The sequence below is a fragment of the Homo sapiens genome, chromosome 14 (genome assembly GCF_000001405.40).
Source record: "Homo sapiens chromosome 14, GRCh38.p14 Primary Assembly".
Lineage (NCBI taxonomy): Eukaryota > Metazoa > Chordata > Mammalia > Primates > Hominidae > Homo > Homo sapiens.
The window spans coordinates 31,137,412-31,155,322 of record NC_000014.9 but is presented as its reverse complement, the minus strand read 5'-3'; the positions used below and the strand labels follow the sequence as shown (position 1 = coordinate 31,155,322).

Here is a 17,911-nt window from a genome sequence, read left to right as displayed (position 1 = left end):
CTGAGGCTGGAGTGCAATGGCATGATCTCGGCTCACCGCCCCCTCCACCTTCTGGGTTAAAGCGACTCTCATGCCTCAGCCTCCGGCGTAGCTGGGATTACAGGCACGTACCACCACGCCCAGCTAATTTTTGAATTTTTAGTAGAGACAGGGTTTCATCATATTGGCCAGGCCAGTCTCGAACTTCTGACCTAGGTGATCCACCCACCTCGGCCTCCCAAACTGTCGGTATTACAGGCGTGAGTCACTGCTCCTGGCCTCTTTTTCCTTTTGTAATAAGTAATTTGTAGGGACATAATTCCAGACTGTGTAAATATGCTGTTCCTCAGTAAATTTAACCCACCAATTTCTGTATTCATTGGTAACTCTTGCCTTAGACTGCAAATTTAAATATACCTTTTCTGTGTCTAGTGGTTCCCAGCAAGATTTATTTCTAATATTTAGTGAATGCTTACTGTGTGTTAATAACAGGGTAGTAATATTTTTGAAAAAAATGGTGGTATATGAGTTAATAATTGTAGAATCCCGAGGGTGGTGAAAGAGAGAGTGTGTATGTGTTACCCAAATCTGTTTAATCGTCAGAATTACTGGGGGATTTAAGGAAAAACAAAACAAAAATATTATCCGAGTTTATTTTCTGGAACTCTCTCTCTCAAGAAATAGGTTACAGCAATCCCAACCAAGATCCCAGCAGTCTTTTTGTAGAAATTGACAAGGAGATTCTAGGCTGAGTGCAGTGGCTCATGCCTGTAATCCCAGCACTTTGGGAGGCCGAGGCAGGGAGATCACCTGAGATCAGAAGTTCGAAACCAGCCTGGCCAACATTGTGAAACCCCATCTCTACAAAAAATACAAAAATGAGCCAGGCATGGTAGCACTTGGCTGTCGTCCCAGCTACTCCGGAGGCTGAGGCAGGAGAATCACTTGAACCTGGGAGGCGGAGGTTGCAGTGAGCTGAGATCGCGCCACTGTACTCCAGCCTGGGCGACAGAGCAAGACTCCATCTCAAAAAAAGAAAAAAAAAATTAGCTGGGCGTGGTGGCACACACCTGTAATCCCAGCTACTTGGGAGGGTGAGACAGGAGAATTGCTTGAACCTGGGAGGCAGAGGTTGCAGTGAGCCGAGATCGGATCGTGCCATTGCACTCCAGTCTGGTTGACAGAACAGAACTCCATCTCAAAAAAAAAAAAAACAAGGAGAGTCTAACATTTGTATATAAATGTAATAGCCAAAGCAACCTGGAAAAGGAGCAGCGTAGAAGGATATACATCAATTTCAACTCTTTTATAAAACTTTGGTAATCAAGAAAGTGTGACAATAGTGTAAAGATAGATGAATGACCCACTACACATATGGCCAATTGATTTTCAACAAAAGTGCTAAGACCACCAAGAAAGGATGATCTTTTCAAAAAATGAACAAGCCAATAGCATATGCAAAATAATTAAACCTCAACCCTTACCACATATATATATATTTGTATCATTTCTTTTTTTGTTTTGTTTTTTGAGATTGAGTCTCCCTTAGTCTCAACCCTTACTACCCATGTATATATATAGCATTATATATATACATTATATATATACATGGTTAGGGTCCCATATACAAAAATTAACAAAATGAACCATAGACTAAAATGTATACACTAAAATTATGACACTTCTAGAGGAAAAGAGAAAATCTTAGTGACCTTGGACTTGGGAAAGATTTTGTAAATTAAACTTCAAAAGGTTATACTGTAAAAGAACAAATAATTGGTAAGTTGTACTTCATCATTACACACTTACGCTCTTCAAAATACGTTGAAATGGTCGGCTGGGCATGATGCCTCATGCCTGTAATCCCAGCACTTTGGGGAGGCTCAGGTAGGAGAATTACTTGAGCCCAGGAGTTCGAGACCAGTCTGGGCAACATGGTGAGGTGAGACCCAGTCTCTATTTTTTTTTTTTTTTGAGATGGAGTCTCGCTCTGTCGTGATCTCAGCTCACTGCTAGCTCTGCCTCCCGGATTCAAGCCATTCTCCTACCTCAGCCTCCCGAGTAGCTGGGACTACAGGCGCCCGCCACAATGCCCGGCTAATTTTTTGTATTTTTAGCAGAGACAGGGTTTTACCGTGTTAGCCAGGATGGTCTCGATCTCCTGACCTCGTGATCCGCCCGCCTTGGCCTCCCAAAGTGCTGGGATTACAGGCATGAGCCACCACGCCTGGCCGACCCATCTCTATTTTTATTAAAAAAAAAAAAAAAAAGAAAAAAAAGAAAAGGCAAGCCAGATAATTCTCTCAGATTTTATGTATCTGAAAATTATTTGGCCTTCTTTCTAATTTTTTCTTTTTTGAGACAGGGTCTCGCTTTGTCACCCAGGCTAGAGTGCAGTGGCGTGATCTCGGCTCACTGCAACCTCTGCCTCCCGGGTTCAAGCAATTCTCCTGCCTCAGCCTCCCAAGTAGCTGGAATTACAGGTGCACACCACCATGCTCAGCTAAGTTTTGTATTTTTAGTAGAGACAAGGTTTTACCATGTTGGCCAGGGTGGTCTCGAACTCGTGACCTCAAAGTGATCCACCGCACCTGGCCTCTTTATTTTTTTATTGTTTAATTAAAAAAATATTTATTTTATTTTTGTAGAGATGCGGGTCTCACAATGTTGCCAAGGCTAGGTTGGTTTTTGGCCTCAAGTTATCCTCCTGCCTTGGCCTTCCAAAGTGCTGAGATTACAGGTGTGAGCCACTGTGCTTCTTTGTCTAGTAAGTTTTGATTTGCTACTGGATATTGTAAATGTGATGATGTTGGGCTCTGGGCTTTGTGGTCTTTTGTAAAGAATATTGGGTTTTGGCCAGGTACCTTGGCTCATGCCTGTAACTCCAGCACTTTGGGAGGCCGAGGCGGACAGGTCGCTTGAGCCCACGAATTCGAGCCTAGCCTAGGTAACATGGCAAAACTCTGTCTCTACAAAGAGTACAAAATTGTCATTGCATGGTGGCAGAATAGCTTTTACTCTAGGGAACTTCACCCCTATGATCCCAAATTTGTGATTTCTTTGAATTCACTGAATATCCTGGTGATCTATGAGGATTTTCTACTCTGGCTGTTTGGAATGCAAATGTCTGGCTACTTGTATGATCTCTTATAACTTTCCAGTTGTTCTTTGCCCAATCTTATGCAGTATCACCCCGTATATAAGTGTAGTACTCAGTGGAAACTACTTTGCAGATTTCTGGAGAGGCTTTTTCTCTTTAGTTCCGTAATAGTGAACTCAGCCTCCACATATTCCAGTTGCCTCAAACTTTTCAAACTCTGATCTCTATTTTCTTAACTTGTACTGCTAGGATCTGTGTTCCCCTTCCACATGAGCTTAGCCAGAAAATGGTCTCTGGTTCTAAGAGACTCGCTTTGTTTGCTTTCATTTTCTTGGGGATCATAGTCCTGCATTGACTGTTCTTTAGTGTTTGAAAACACATTTTTCGTATATCTTGTCTATATTTTAGTTGTTTATGATGGACGTATTTAGATAATTTAATATCTTTTTTTATGTGAATATTTTCCATTTTTAAATGTGTCCAAAAAAAGTTTTAGGAACACAGGCTGAGCTACAAAATGTTTATACATTTTTTTTAAAAAAAAAAACATGCTGAGTCAGGCGCGGTGGCTCATGCCTGTAATCCCAGCACTTTGAGATGGAGGAGGGCAGATCGTGAGGTCAGAAGATAGAGACCATCCTGGCTAACACAGTGAAACACCATCTCTACTAAAAATACAAAAAATTAGTCCGGCGTAGTGGCGGGCCCCTGTAGTCCCAGCTACTTGGGAGGCTGAGGCAGGAGAATGGCGTGAACCCGGGAGGTGGAGCTTGCAGTAAGTGGAGATTGTGCCACTGCACTCCAGCCTGGGTGACAGAGCGAGACTCTGTCTCAAAAAAAAAAAAAAAAAAAAGCTCTAACTAAAATACTTGTATGATCATGGGAATGAGTATATTTGATTCACTTGGCTAAGGGTGGGGTCTTGGAATGAATGAATGAATTTTATTTACTTATAATAGATAATATATATTATATATAAATTATAAATATATATATTTATAGAGAGACACTGTCTCTATTATCTTTATAGAGGTTGTAGATAATGTCTCTATTATTATAGAGTGAGACCCTGTCTCTATTATCTATATAGAGATTATAGATAGTGTCTTTATTATCTAGATAGATAGATAGATAGATAGATATAGATAATAGAGACAGAGTCCCGATCTGTTACCCAGGCTGGAGTTCTGTGGCACAGTCCTTCACTATAACCTCAAATTCCAGGGCCCAGGCAGTCTTCGTGCTTCAACTTCTCCAGTAGCTAGGACTACAGGTGCGCACTACCACCCTCAGCTAATTTTTAATTTTTTTTTTTGTGGAGACAGACTCGCTACGTTGCCCAGGCTGATCTTGAACTCATGGCCTAAGCACTCCTCCTGCCTTGGCCTCCCAAAGTGTTGGGGTTATAGGCATGAGCCATCACTGTCAGCCAAAATTTATCTTTAAAAAGCTTCTTTGGTGATTCTGTTACACACTTCACTTTGGATACCATTGAGCCTCTCTAAATCATCATTGTTTACAAATAGGCCCAGAGATGTAATGAGTTCACCAAGGTTTTAGGTTATTATGTTGTTGTGTGTAGTGCTCTAATCCATTAGTCTTTACCCCACTACACCTGGACATGATATAATATAGGTCATTATTTACATGAATTTCTTAATATTTTTAACACTTATTTGTAAGATTTAGTTATAGGTAATTAATTAGTCAGAATTGAGAGCCAGGTGCCGTGGCTTGGACCTGTAATCCCAGCTACTTGGGAGGTTGAGGTGGAAGGATTGCCTGAGGCCAGGAGTTAGAGGCTGCAGTAAGCTATGATGACACTATTGCACACCAGCCTGGATGACAGAGTTGAGACCATGTTTCTAAAAGGGGGGAAAAAGATTAAGCTACAGGCAATTGAGTATTATGTTCAGAGTATTTAAATTTGAAATTAAATTAGATTCATGTTTTTAAAATATGTATGAATATTTGAAATTGAAATTATTTTCCATGTTTAATTGAATAATTCTACACATTTAGGAAGATGAACCACAGGAAGATGCTAAAGAATTGCAACAAGGTAAACCATATCATTGGAGAGACTGGTCAATCATTAGGGGAAGGGACTGCTTATATATTTGGAGTGATGCAGCAGCCTTGGAATTATCTAATGGCAGTAATGGATGGTTCAGATTTATCTTGGATGGAAAACTTGCCACCATGTATTCAAGTGGTAGTCCGGAAGGTGGATCTGACAGTTCAGGTAATATTTTGTTTCAATTAAAATATTTTCCTAGTTTCTACAGTTTGGTTTTTTTCTCATATTTTTGCTACCATTGTCAAGGTATTTTATTTTTTTGAGACGGAGTCTCACTCTGTCACCCAGGCTGGAGTGCAGTGGTGCGATCTCGGCTCACTGCAACCTCCACCTCTCAGGTTCAAGCAGTTCTCCTGTCTCACTCTCCTGAGTAGCTGGGACTACAGGCACCTGTCACCATGCCCGGCTTATTTTTCTATTTTTAGTAGAGATGGGGTTTCACCTTGTTGGTCAGGCTAGTCTCGAACTCCTGACCTCAGGTGATCCCCCTACCTCGGCCTCCCAACGTGCTGGAGTTACAGGTGTGAGCCACTGTAGAAACAAAAATATTTGTTTCTTTATTTTTTAATATCAATTTCTTTTGTATCAGTAGAGAAAAATTATTATACCATGAAAATATTTCCTAAATGTCTTTTTACTGCATGGGACAAGGAACAACACTGTATCTACTTTTTAAAAAATATCTTTACAAATATAGCTCCTTTTTTTTTTTTTTTTTTTGTTTTGGAGACAGTGTCTTACTCTGTCTCCCAGGCTAGAGAGCGGTGGTGTGATCATAGCTCATGGCAGCCTCAAACTCGTGAGCTCAAGTGATCATCTCGCCTTAGCTTCCCAAGTAGCTGGGACTACAGATGCGTACCACCATGCCTGGCTAATATTTCCAGTTTCTAATTTAGTTTTATTGTTTAAAATTTATATTTTAATAGGTCTTTTTTTCCTAAGAGAAAATACATGTCATACTTGAAAGAAATAAGATTTTGAAACAAGTATTTTGTCTTTATAGAAAGCCGAAGTGAATTCTTAGAGAAGTTACAAAGAGCTCGAGGCCAAGTAAAGCCATCTACTTCAAGTCAACCTATACTGTCAGCACCAGGACCCACTAAACTTACTGTAGGAAATTGGTCACTGACATGTTTGAAAGAAGGAGAAATTGCTATTCATAATTCAGATGGTCAGCAAGCTACAATATTGAAAGAAGATTTACCTGGTTTTGTATTTGAATCTAATAGAGGAACCAAACATTCATTTACTGCAGAAACTTCCCTGGGTAAGTATGTAGATATGTAAGTTTATTGGGTACAAATAAATGAATATGTTAAATTGTAACAAAGTAAGCTCTGTGAATATTCTTTTTTTTCCCCCCAAGGTTCAGAATTTGTGACTGGCTGGACTGGCAAAAGAGGCAGAAAACTGAAATCTAAGTTAGAAAAAACAAAGCAAAAGGTATATCTGTTGGATGTGCTTTATTCTTGTCTTTTATACTGATTTGTTAAATTTTCAGTGGTAAAGTATAAGCACTGAAAAAAATTGAGCCATAGAACATAAGCAGCCCTAATATAATATATTTTTAGTTTTTCTATTTTCTGTGTTTTCTTAAATATTTATTTACATATAATTTTTATACCTATACTAAATACCAACATTAAAACAGAATCAAAATGGATGTTAATATGAAACAAAATGTAAATTACTTGACTTATTAATTGCACAAAAAAATTCAACTCATTGAGATTATTAATGATACTAGGATATTTTTAGTGTTGTAGTGGGATTGAAAATGACTTGTATTTTACAATCTGGGTTAATACCTTGTGATACAGCAAACTTAACTGCCTGGTTCTAAATTCAGATTATTTTGATACTTAGTTTAATGGCCATCTCAGCTGAAATTATTACTTCAAGAAGATACAGTAGCAGATGCATAATTGACTAATTTTTTTATGCTTCCATCAGGTTTGCATTATTACTTTAAAATATGGCCAGTATATTTCCATGTTTATTGTTCTTGCATTTTTTTTTTCATTTTTAAAAAAAAGTAAGATAATCTCATAGTTAGAGTCAACATTTTCTGGTGACTAGTATGTTTATTTTACCTATAATGGTAATATAAAATAGGATTTTTTTAATTTGCTTTGTTTTGAAACAGTCTCTCTGTATTGTCCAGGCTGGTCTAAAATACCTGAGTGCAAGTAATCCTCCTGCCTCAGCCTCCCAAGTAGCTGGGACTACAGGCGCTATGCCTGGTTCTAAGATAGTTTTTAAATACAGTATGCAAAGAATACTTGTATATGATTAGGATTAGGGGAGAGTTCTTGTGTTTTTATGGCTTTGACCAGAGAAATTGTAATAATGATGTTTCTGTTTTTTTTTTTAAACAAACTTAGTGAAACCCTTGTAATGTTTTTTTTGAGACTCGGTTTCGCTCTTGATGCCCAAACTGTAGAATGGTGCAGTCTCAGCTCACTGTAACCTCTGCCTCCTGGGTTCAGGCTATTCTCCTGCCTCAGCCTCCTGAGTAGCTGGGATTACAGGTGCCTGCCACCATGCCCAGCTAATTTTTTGTATTTTTAGTAGAGACGGGGTTTCACCATGTTGGCCAGGCTGGTCTGAAACTCCTGACCTCAGGTGATCCACCCTCCTTAGCCTTCCAAAGTGCTGGGATTACAGGCATTTGCCACTGTGCCAGTCCTGTGATAGTGGTTTTCATTTGAAGCGGATGTTTTATATAAAGATGTTCACATCTTTATTTCCTGTTTGAATGTGCTAGGTTATCCCAAAGATATTTGCAGGTGGTATACTTTGGAAAGAACATAGCTTTTTTATTTATTTATTTTTATTTTTATTTTTTTTGAGATGGATTCTCACTCTGTCACCCAGACTGGAGTGCAGCGGTGCGATCTCGGCTGACTGCAACCTCTGCCTCCCCAGGTTCAAGTGATTCTCCTGCCTCAGCCTTCCGAGTAGCTGGGACTACAAGCACGTACCACCATGCCCAGTTACTTTTTTGTATTTTTAGTAGAGACAGGGTTTCACTGTGTTAGCCAGGATAGTCTCCATCTCCTGACCTCAAGTGATCCACCTGCCTCGGCCTCCCAAAGTAGTGGGATTACAGGCATGAGCCACCACATCCGGCCAACAGTAGTTACATTTTATAAAGTTATTGTGAATACTGAACCATTGCTTGTGGGAGAAATACTGGGTTAGATTTCTTCTAGGCCTAAGGCCTGTTGTGACAACATTTTTTCACCTTGTTTTTTAGTATGTTTTTGTTTAAAGACACCTTATTTGCTATGTATTGTTTTTTGTTTTTTGAGACAGAGTCTCACTCTGTTTCCTATGTTGGAGGGCAGTGGCACAGTCTCAGCTCCCTGCAACCTCCGCCTTCCAGGTTCAACCGATTCACCTGCCTCAGCCTCCCAAATACCTGGGATTACAGGTGCGCGCCACCATGCCCGGCTCATTTTTGCATTTTTAGTAGAGACGGGGTTTCACCATGTTGGCCAGGCTGGTCTCAAACTCCTACCTCAAGTGATCTGCCCGCCTTGGCCTCCCAAAAGCCACTGCGCCCAGCCTGATATGTATTGTTGATTTATTAATATTGAACTGGCCAACAGCACTGCTATGCTTGAACAAAGCTTATTTTAGCACACACTTTTTTTTTTTTTTTCTTGCAAGGTACGTCACAGTCTCCTTGTGCTTAGAAACACTGGATAGCACTTAAGCACTATGTTTGGGGGCCATTTTAAACAATGAAATCAGGAAGAAAAAGCCCCAAAATTCAAAATATGTGACACTAAGTAGATTGTGAATAGGGCACTTGTTTATAGTATGAGACCTGAAGCAAGAAAGAGTGTCACCTTTTTGAATTCTGCTGGGAACATGCATATTGGGCACCTTAAATTTATTGCTGCACTGTGCATGTCTGTCAATGAATGTGAAAGCTCTGCAATGATTGATTTTGAGGTTACAAATTTTAATGAATACTCATATTTGCAAGCATGGAACCGTTGAATAATCTGACTATAAATCACCTACCTCAAGAGTTTTTTGGAATATCTAATATGTCGTATTAACCAACCAAATCTAGACTACAGGATACTGAAATTTCATAACACAAACTAAAAAAAATCAGTGAGGACATTGTCTCAATCCTGTATTCTCATTAAAAAAAAAAAAATTATGGAGGGTGTGGAGTGAGGGTGGCAAGGGTTCCAGAACTGTTGGGTACTATGCTCACTACCTGGGTGTTGAGATCATTTGTATTGCAAACCTTAACATCACACAGTATACCCATGTAACCTGCACATGTACCCCGAATCTAAAATAAAAGTTGAAATTGTAAGAAAAAAATTTTAAAAATTACTGCTTCACTTTCTTGATTTGAAATCAGTAGCAACTCAGTGAGTAGGTGGCTATCCTTTTGCATATATAAACAAGTATGCATCAAAATATTTTAGGCAAAAATAATTTTAACTAATTTATTTATTTTTTTTTATTTTTTGAGGCAAAGTCTTGCTCTGTCACCCAGGCACTGGCACAATCTTGGCTCACTGCAGCCTCCACCTCCCGGGTTCAAATGATTGTCCCGCCTCAGTCTCCTGAGTAGCTGGGACTATAGGCATGCACAACCATGCCCAGCTAATTTTATTTTTAATTTTTAGTAGAGACGAGGTTTCACCATGTTGGCCAGGCTGGTCTTGAACTCCTGACTGACCTCAAGTGATCTGCCTGCCTTGGCCTCCCAAAGTGCTAGGATTACAAGCATGAGCCACCACACCAGTATTAATTATTAATACTGTTTTATAAAGAGATAGTTTCTTCAAACTTGTCTTATATCCATGATTGCCATCTTTTAATTCTGAAGGGCATACCAAAATAGAATAGAAAGTATTATTAAGTAGTTTAGAGAGATACGTTTTTTTCTGTTGCATTAGAGTTATGCTGGGTTTGTTTGGGATTAAAATGGCATTAGGTGAATCCTAAATTTACATTACTTAAGCATATATTTTTAAATAATATCATGTACTAAATTTCATCAGACCCAGAACATACATAGGTTGTTTCCTCAAATAACTGTAACTTCGAGAGCTCATTTGTGCCCAAATGACAGTACATACGTACCTTTTCGTGGTGAAATATGTAAATACGAGTGTCTATAAAAGTGAAGATTTGGTAAAATTATTAATTGTAAAAATTCACATTTGTTGTGTTTATTTTGGTAGGTACGAACTATGGCTCGAGATTTATACGATGACCATTTTAAAGCTGTTGAAAGCATGCCTCGTGGAGTAGTGGTAACACTCAGAAACATAGCAACTCAGTTAGAGTCATCTTGGGAACTTCATACAAATAGACAAGTATGTCATCCTCTAGATTTTAATGATATGTAGTGAATTTTAGTTTGATGTCTTCCCCTCTATCCTTTATGTCATGGGTATTGAGTAGGGGGTCAGCAAATTATGGCCCAGGAGCCAAATCTGGCCTGCTCCCCATTTTCGTATGGCTTTATGAGGTAAGAATGGTTTTTATACTTTTAAATGATTGAAAACAAACCAGAAGGACAATTTCAAGACACATGAAAATCAGATTTCGGTATCCATATAATTTAATCACACATAGCCATGCTTATTCATTTACATATTGTCTATGACTACTTTGGTGCTACAGGGGCGTGGTTGAATAGCTGTGATGTAGACTATATGGCCTGCAAAGCCTAAACTGTTTGCACTGGGCCCTTTACGAAAACGTTTGCTGACCTCTGGTAGACATAATTTGTGTTAATAATTTGAACTTTTAATTTTGCTTAATATCTAAATTATTGTCATGATAATTGATGTTCTGATAAGTTATTTTAAGAGCTATGTTTATGTTTTTGATTGCCTTCATTAAATTTTTTTTTCTTTTAGTGTATTGAGAGTGAGAACACTTGGAGAGATTTAATGAAGACAGCTTTAGAAAACCTAATTGTACTTTTGAAGGATGAAAACACAATTTCACCATATGAAATGTGTAGCAGTGGCTTGGTACAAGCACTTCTTACTGTGTTAAACAATGTAAGTTTATCAAGTAGTAAAGAACAAAAATACAGTTTTAAAAATTATTTGTAGTTACTCCTTCGGTAGAGTGGTTTTTAGTTTGTTTTGTCAAGAAATATTTAAAAGCTGAATGATGTTAATATTTCTAATTTCTTCAGCCTTTAGGTTTTATGATTAGTTTGAGCCAAATGAATTAAATAATTGTTTATTTTGATTTCTAAGTTCCCAGTTATAATTTGCTAAAGGTTTTGTTGACTAAAAACACTTCAGCTTGATTTGTTATTATTCACTCCTCTGATTTTTACATAAGTTATATAAAATAGAATATGTCTGTAGACCTTAAGTACCCAAGTTATATGCATAATGTGTGAACAATGAAAGTTTAGGAAGTTTATGATGGAAGGAACTCTCCACAGGGCTTGTTTTCCAAAGAAAAGTGTTGTTTGGAGGAGCAAAGTTATAAGCCTACCTAAGCATATCATAAAGCTGTTCAAAAATAACTCAGACTCAGTCTTGTGGATGGAAATGTAGCGCTCGAGTCACATTCTGCTTAAAGTTACAACAAATACAGATGAGTTAAAAGGAAAAAAGTTTAGGAAGTTTATGTGAAAATTTGATAAATATTTGCTAATAACCTTATATATTTTTTCGATTTAAGAATGTCTCTTTATTGTGGTAAAACTTTTTTCCTTTGTTTATATATTTATTTATTTTTGACACAGAGTCTCGCTTTGTCGCCCAGGCTTGAGTGCAGTGGCGCAGTCCTGACTCACTGCAGCCTCTGCCTCCTGGGCTCAAGTGATTCTCCTGCCTTAGCCTCCTGAGTAGTTGGGATTACAGGCACCTGCCACCACGCCCGGCTAATTTTTGTATTTTTAGTAGAGACGAGGTTTTGTCATGTTGGCCAGGCTGGTTTCGCACTCCTGACCTCAAGTGACCCGCCCGCCTTTGCCTCCCAAGTGCTGGGATTACAGGCATGAGCCACTGCACCTGGCTCTTTTTTCCTTTATTTTAATAAAAGAATTATATTCATTTCAGTTCTACTTAGTTTTATTTAATTAATTAATTAATTATATTTTTAAAAATTTGGAATGCTTCACGAATTTGTGTGTCATCCTTGTGCAAGGGCCATACTAATCTTCTCTGTATCATTTCAGTTTTGGTATATGTACTGCTGAAACGTGGACTACTCAGTTCTTTTTAGTGTGTGTGCATGTGTGTATGTGCATCTGTGTGTTCGCCATGATGCCTAGGCTGGGCTCAAGCGATCTGCCTTCCTTGGCCTCCCAAGGTGCTGGGATTACAGGTGTGAGCCACTGTGCCTGGCCAGAGTTGATTTCTTGATCTTAATCATTGTATGTGCTGATGCACTCTTAAGATTTACTTTAGGCTGGGCGCGGTGGCTCGTGCCTGTAATCCTAGCACTCTAGGAGGCTGAGGTGGGCAGAACACTTGAGGTCAGGAATGCAAGACCAGCCTGGCCAACATGGTGAAACCCTATCTCTATTAAAAATACAAAACAAAATTAGCCAGGCGTGTTGGCATGCACCTGTAGTCCCACCTACTCTTCTGTAATTCTGAGGCGGGAGAATTGCTTGAGCCTGGGAGGCGAGGTTGCAGTGAGCCAAGATAGCACCACTGTACTCCAGCCTGGGTGACAGAGCGAGACTCTGTCTCAAAAAAAAAAAAAAAAAATTCACTGGAACTTCAATGAGTCCCATAGTCCCTTCATAAACTTTACTATTTGCATTTATTCTCATTTATTATAGTGATATATCACATTATATCACTTAGTAATCTATGAAATAGTTTTGATGTACCAGTTTTTTCCTAATACTTATTAAAGTAAATAGTACTGTTAAAATGGAAAATGTTCATTCCTATATTAATATAGTCTGAAACCATCTTGTATACTTGGGGAAACACTGATTTTGCAGCATAATTGGTGAGTATATTATAACATTGAAGAAGGAAAAAATTTTGTATGTTAGCCATGGCCTACTAGTCACATACTAAAAATAATTTTAATTGAAACATGAAATGATGAATGATTTTATTCACATTGTAGTGATCATTGTATAACAATATGTTAACATTTGTCTCTTAGTTTTTGATGAATTTCAGTAAGATCCTTAAATTATTTTTTTTTGGACTTTATACTTTTTGTTTTCTTTAGAGCATGGATTTGGATATGAAACAAGATTGTAGTCAACTGGTAGAAAGAATAAATGTTTTTAAAACTGCCTTTAGTGAAAATGAAGATGATGAAAGGTAAAATCTCAAATTTCTTTGAATTTGATGTTTGTAATGTTCACACAGTTGGTATACTTCCTCTAAAATAAGTCTAGTGTAACATTTATGCACACAAAAGAAACTCTTAATAAGAAAGTAACATATTATACATGTATAATAAGAGGAAAATTTTTGAAGTTTTTTTTAATCTAATGGAATAAAAAGAAACATTGAAATTACATGTCTGGTATGAATGCAGCTGATCACTTAGTTTACTTATTCATGATAATTATTATTTTGTAAATTCAGACAAGATTTTGCTCTGTTGCCCAGGCTGGAGTACAGTGATGTCATCTTGGCTCACTGCAGCCTCAACCTCCTGGGCTCAAGCATTTCTCCTGTCTTCGCTGCCCAACGTGTTGGGATTATAGGCATGAACCACCGTTCCTAGCCTGATCACTTAGTTTAAATTACATGCCTGTTTAAGATAGTTGAAAATTTGAACACTGATGAAATGTTTGATAATATTAAGTAATAATTGTTCTTTTTAAAAGTGTAATACTGTTTTTTTTTAAAAAATAATTCTTTTGTTAGATTTATGTACAAAGACTATCTCTGGATGAAATGATAAGCTCTTTAGTATTTTTTCAAAATATATAAGAAGAAGTAGGCCAGGCACGGTGGCTCACGCCTGTAATCCCAGGACTTTGGGAGGCTGAGGTGGGTGGATCACTTCAGGTCAGGAGTTCGAGACCAGCCTGGCCAACATGGCAAAAACCCATCTCTACTAAAAATACAAAAGTTAGTTGGGCCTGGTGGTGGGCGTCTTTAATCCCAGCTACTCGGGAGGCTGAGGCAGGAGAATCCCTTGAACCCTGGAGGCAGAAGTTGCAGTGAGCTGAGATTGAGCCACCGTACTCCAGCCTAGGTGACAGAGTGAGACTCTATAACAAAAAAAAAAAAAGAAAAAAACCTGGATGGAGATTGGCCATTAGTAGCTAATTGCTAAAGCTGGGTTGATAAAGGTTCATTATATTATTCTGTGTACATTTGAATGGGATTGCACTTGTCAAATAACAAGTTATACAATTTATTCAGATAATTGTGTTAATTTCAAATTTCATTTTTAATGAATGCATATTATATCTTTATGGATGTATAATGTTTTGAAGTATTACTGTGTTTTAGCTCTTTGCAAACTATTACTAATACTTAAATATACTAGTCTCAATGGAAGCATCTTTTTACATAAATTCCGTAAGTGGTAATACTGTGTTATAGGTTATAGATGATTTCTTTTTTTTTTAAGAGATGGAGTCTTGCTGTGTTGCTGAGGCTGGAGTCCAGTGGCTATTTACGGGTGCCAGAATTTTGCACTACAGCCTTAAACTCCTGGGCTCAAGCAATTCTCTTTTCTCAGCTTCCCTTGTAGCTGGGACTCCAGCATATACCACCTTGCCCAGCTCTGCAAGACGATTTTTGAAAGTTCTTGATTCAAATTTTCACATTGTTTTCCGGAAGTGTCATTGCAGTTTACACTAATAATGAGAAAGTATATGTTGTGATACCCTAGCCATCAAATATTTTTTCAAAACTTTGTTGCTTTATATTCTTTTTTATTTATCAAATATTATCCAGTAAAATTATTTAAACTTTAAAAATAAATCATACATCTGCTTTAAATATAATTAAGTTTTTATTAGAAAAATGAAATGTTTTATTCTTAAGTAAAGGAAATTGAGTTGTGAGAGTATTTCTACTCAGACATAATCTAATACAAAAATTAAACTGTAGTCATGAAAAAGTAGGGGTATATATTGAAGTTGATTACCATATTTTCTGCATGAACATTTACATGTAGTTATACAAAACCTCTTAATAATAATTATTTCTTCGCAGTCGACCAGCAGTTGCGTTAATTCGAAAGTTAATAGCTGTACTAGAATCTATTGAACGTCTACCTCTCCATTTGTATGATACACCAGGATCCACATATAACCTCCAGGTAACCATAAAAAATGTAGTAGCTAGTATTGCTGAATGCATCTAGGAACAGTGTGACACTTTTCTTTAAAAAAAATTATTTTCTTTCACATCGGATTAAAATAAAAATGATTCTACTTAATCTTTAAAGATTTTAGCTTATATGCCATTTGATTGATCTTAATGACTTGAAGTCTGTTTTGTTTGATCAAATCACTGGAAAATGATGCATTCATTTAATATTTGTTAAAAGCATTATATTTCGTAGATCATAAGTGGCAAAAGGTATCAGTGGAAAAAGCTGAGAAAAGGGTTCCTCTTATTCTACAATTATGAGTCAGTTCTGTCTTAGTCCATTTGGGCTGCTGTAACAAAATTCCTGCGAACTTAATAAACAGAAATTCATTGCTCACAATTCTGGTGGCTGGGAAGTCCAAGATCAAGGTGCTAGCAGATTTGGTGTCTCGTGAGGGCCTATTCCTCTTAGATGGAACCTTCTAACTGTGTTCTCACATTGTAGAAGGGATGAACAAGATCTCTCAGGCCTCTTTTATAAGGACACTAATCCCATTCATGAGGGCAGAGCCCCCCCAGAAGTTCCACCATCCAACACCACTGCACTGGGGATTAAGTTTTAACACATGAATTTTGCGGGGACACAAACATTCAGACCATGGCAAGTCCCTTCCTTATCACTATATTGTAAACATAAGAAAAAAAGTCAAGATATTTTAAGCACAATTTTTTTCGGGTCTTTATGTCAGTGGTTAGAGTCAGATTGCCCAAGTCTTCACTATTCCTATCAATCACATGGTTTCATAGCCTCTTTTCCTTCCCTCCTCCTCCCCATACAGATATATATATATATATATCTGTATATAATATGTAACTTCCTATTTACATTCTCATTCATTCAATTATTCTTTTCTTTAGTAGCTGGGATCTAGATGCAAACAAACAATACATTTTACTAATGTCCTAGCCCAGAACTTTATCACTTTTTTTGTGGGTTTTTTAGTGTTTCCTAGCAAGGCCTTCTGCTTTGAATTTTGCCTTTATCTAAACTGTTCTGCATTCTACTGCATGGAATAGTTTCTTTTGAATAATAGCCTTTAATGAGTGATTGAGGATCTATATATGCCAAAGCAATGCAAAGCTAACAAAACTTGCCATACCTCTGAGAACCCAATACTGTTATCAGTGCCACTAGACTCCCAAACTAGAGTACTTATTTAGGGAGTTTTACAGTGCAGTAGTTGCACCTGATATTCTATATGTAAAAGATGTGGAGGGCTACTTTGTGTTTTGTTTCAGACAGAATAACAGGAGTAATGGGGACTGTTTGGTCCATTGTTTTTAAGCTTTATTCCTGGTAAGTGGATGAGTTGGAGATAAGTCTCAAAGACAGTGCACCGATGCCTTTTATTATGCATTTTTCACTTCAGGAGATTGTGCAAGATCCAAAGAGAGGAAGGCCAGGAATGTGCTCTCTGGTAATTTTGCTGTCTAAAACTACCGAAATGCACATATAAATCTTTAATTGTTTTTATAGGAATTAGTTAAGATTTATACAGAAATGAATCTACCTAAAATTGCTAGTCCTGTGCTTGTTGCTTACTAAAATGTATTGGATTAAAAACTATTTTGCATCTTTTAAAGTTTATTAGCCTTTGATTATACAGGTTGAGTATTCCTTATCCAAAATGCTTGGAACCAGAAGTGTTTTGGATTTTATAATATTTGTTACCGATTCAGCATTCCTAGTCCAAAATCTGAAATGCTCCAGTGAGCATTTGAGCATCATGTCAGTGCTCAGAAAGTTTCAGATTTTGGAGCATTTCAAGATTCCAGATTTGTAGATTAGGGATGCTTATCCTGTAGAATATATTCTAGCGGAGTAAGCTAATTAGCTACTTTTCAAAAACTTACCTGGAAAATTGTGAGTTATAAGTCACTTTGATTAAGAAGTTTTATAAGTTTATTTAAACTGTGTATATTTAGAAGTTAAGAAGTTTTGTAAGTTTATTTAAACTGTGTATATTTAGAAGTTGTTTAGAAATTCTAGGAAGTTAAGTTTGTCTTTTACTTGATAGCCACTGTAACTTACTTAGTGTCCCTTTTATAAAAGAATCTTTCCTGTTGGATTGTTTTCTTTTTTTTCTTTTTTTCTTTTCAAGACTGGGTCTAGCTCTGTTGCACAGGCTGGAGTGCAGTGTCGTGATCTCAGCTCGCTGCACTCTCCGTGTCCCAGGCTCAGCTGATCCTCCCGCCTTAGCCTCTCCAATACCTGGGACTACAGGCATGCATGCCTGGCTAATTTTTTGTTGGTTTGTTTGTTTTAATATGTAGAGATGAGGTCTCACTGTGTTGCCCAGGCCGGTCTTGAACTCCTAGGCACAAGCAATTGATCCTCTTGCCTCAGACTCCTGAAGTGCTAGGATTACAGGTCTGAGTCACTGTGCCTGGCCTAAAGAATGTTTAATAGGCTGGGCGTGGTGTCTC

At 37.6% G+C, this 17,911-nt stretch overlaps 1 protein-coding gene and 1 pseudogene across 22 annotated transcripts in view; one reads left to right on the top strand and one right to left on the bottom strand.

Moving 5' to 3' along the window:
* Nucleotides 1-17,911, top strand: part of HECTD1 (HECT domain E3 ubiquitin protein ligase 1) — a 107,677-nt gene that overhangs the window by 52,471 nt on the left and 37,295 nt on the right. For all 22 annotated transcript variants that reach the window (XR_001750215.3, XM_017021153.2, XM_047431208.1 and 19 more), the window contains 7 exons: nucleotides 5,102-5,324; nucleotides 6,163-6,426; nucleotides 6,526-6,602; nucleotides 10,382-10,516; nucleotides 11,066-11,212; nucleotides 13,371-13,465; nucleotides 15,326-15,431. Coding sequence is in view for 21 of the 22 variants with exons in the window: in XM_017021153.2 (XP_016876642.1) it covers nucleotides 5,102-5,324; nucleotides 6,163-6,426; nucleotides 6,526-6,602; nucleotides 10,382-10,516; nucleotides 11,066-11,212; nucleotides 13,371-13,465; nucleotides 15,326-15,431 (1,047 nt within the window). In the remaining variant the exon portion in view is untranslated. The remainder of the gene's footprint in view (nucleotides 1-5,101; nucleotides 5,325-6,162; nucleotides 6,427-6,525; nucleotides 6,603-10,381; nucleotides 10,517-11,065; nucleotides 11,213-13,370; nucleotides 13,466-15,325; nucleotides 15,432-17,911) is intronic.
* Nucleotides 12,275-12,384, bottom strand: RNU6-541P (RNA, U6 small nuclear 541, pseudogene; annotated as a pseudogene).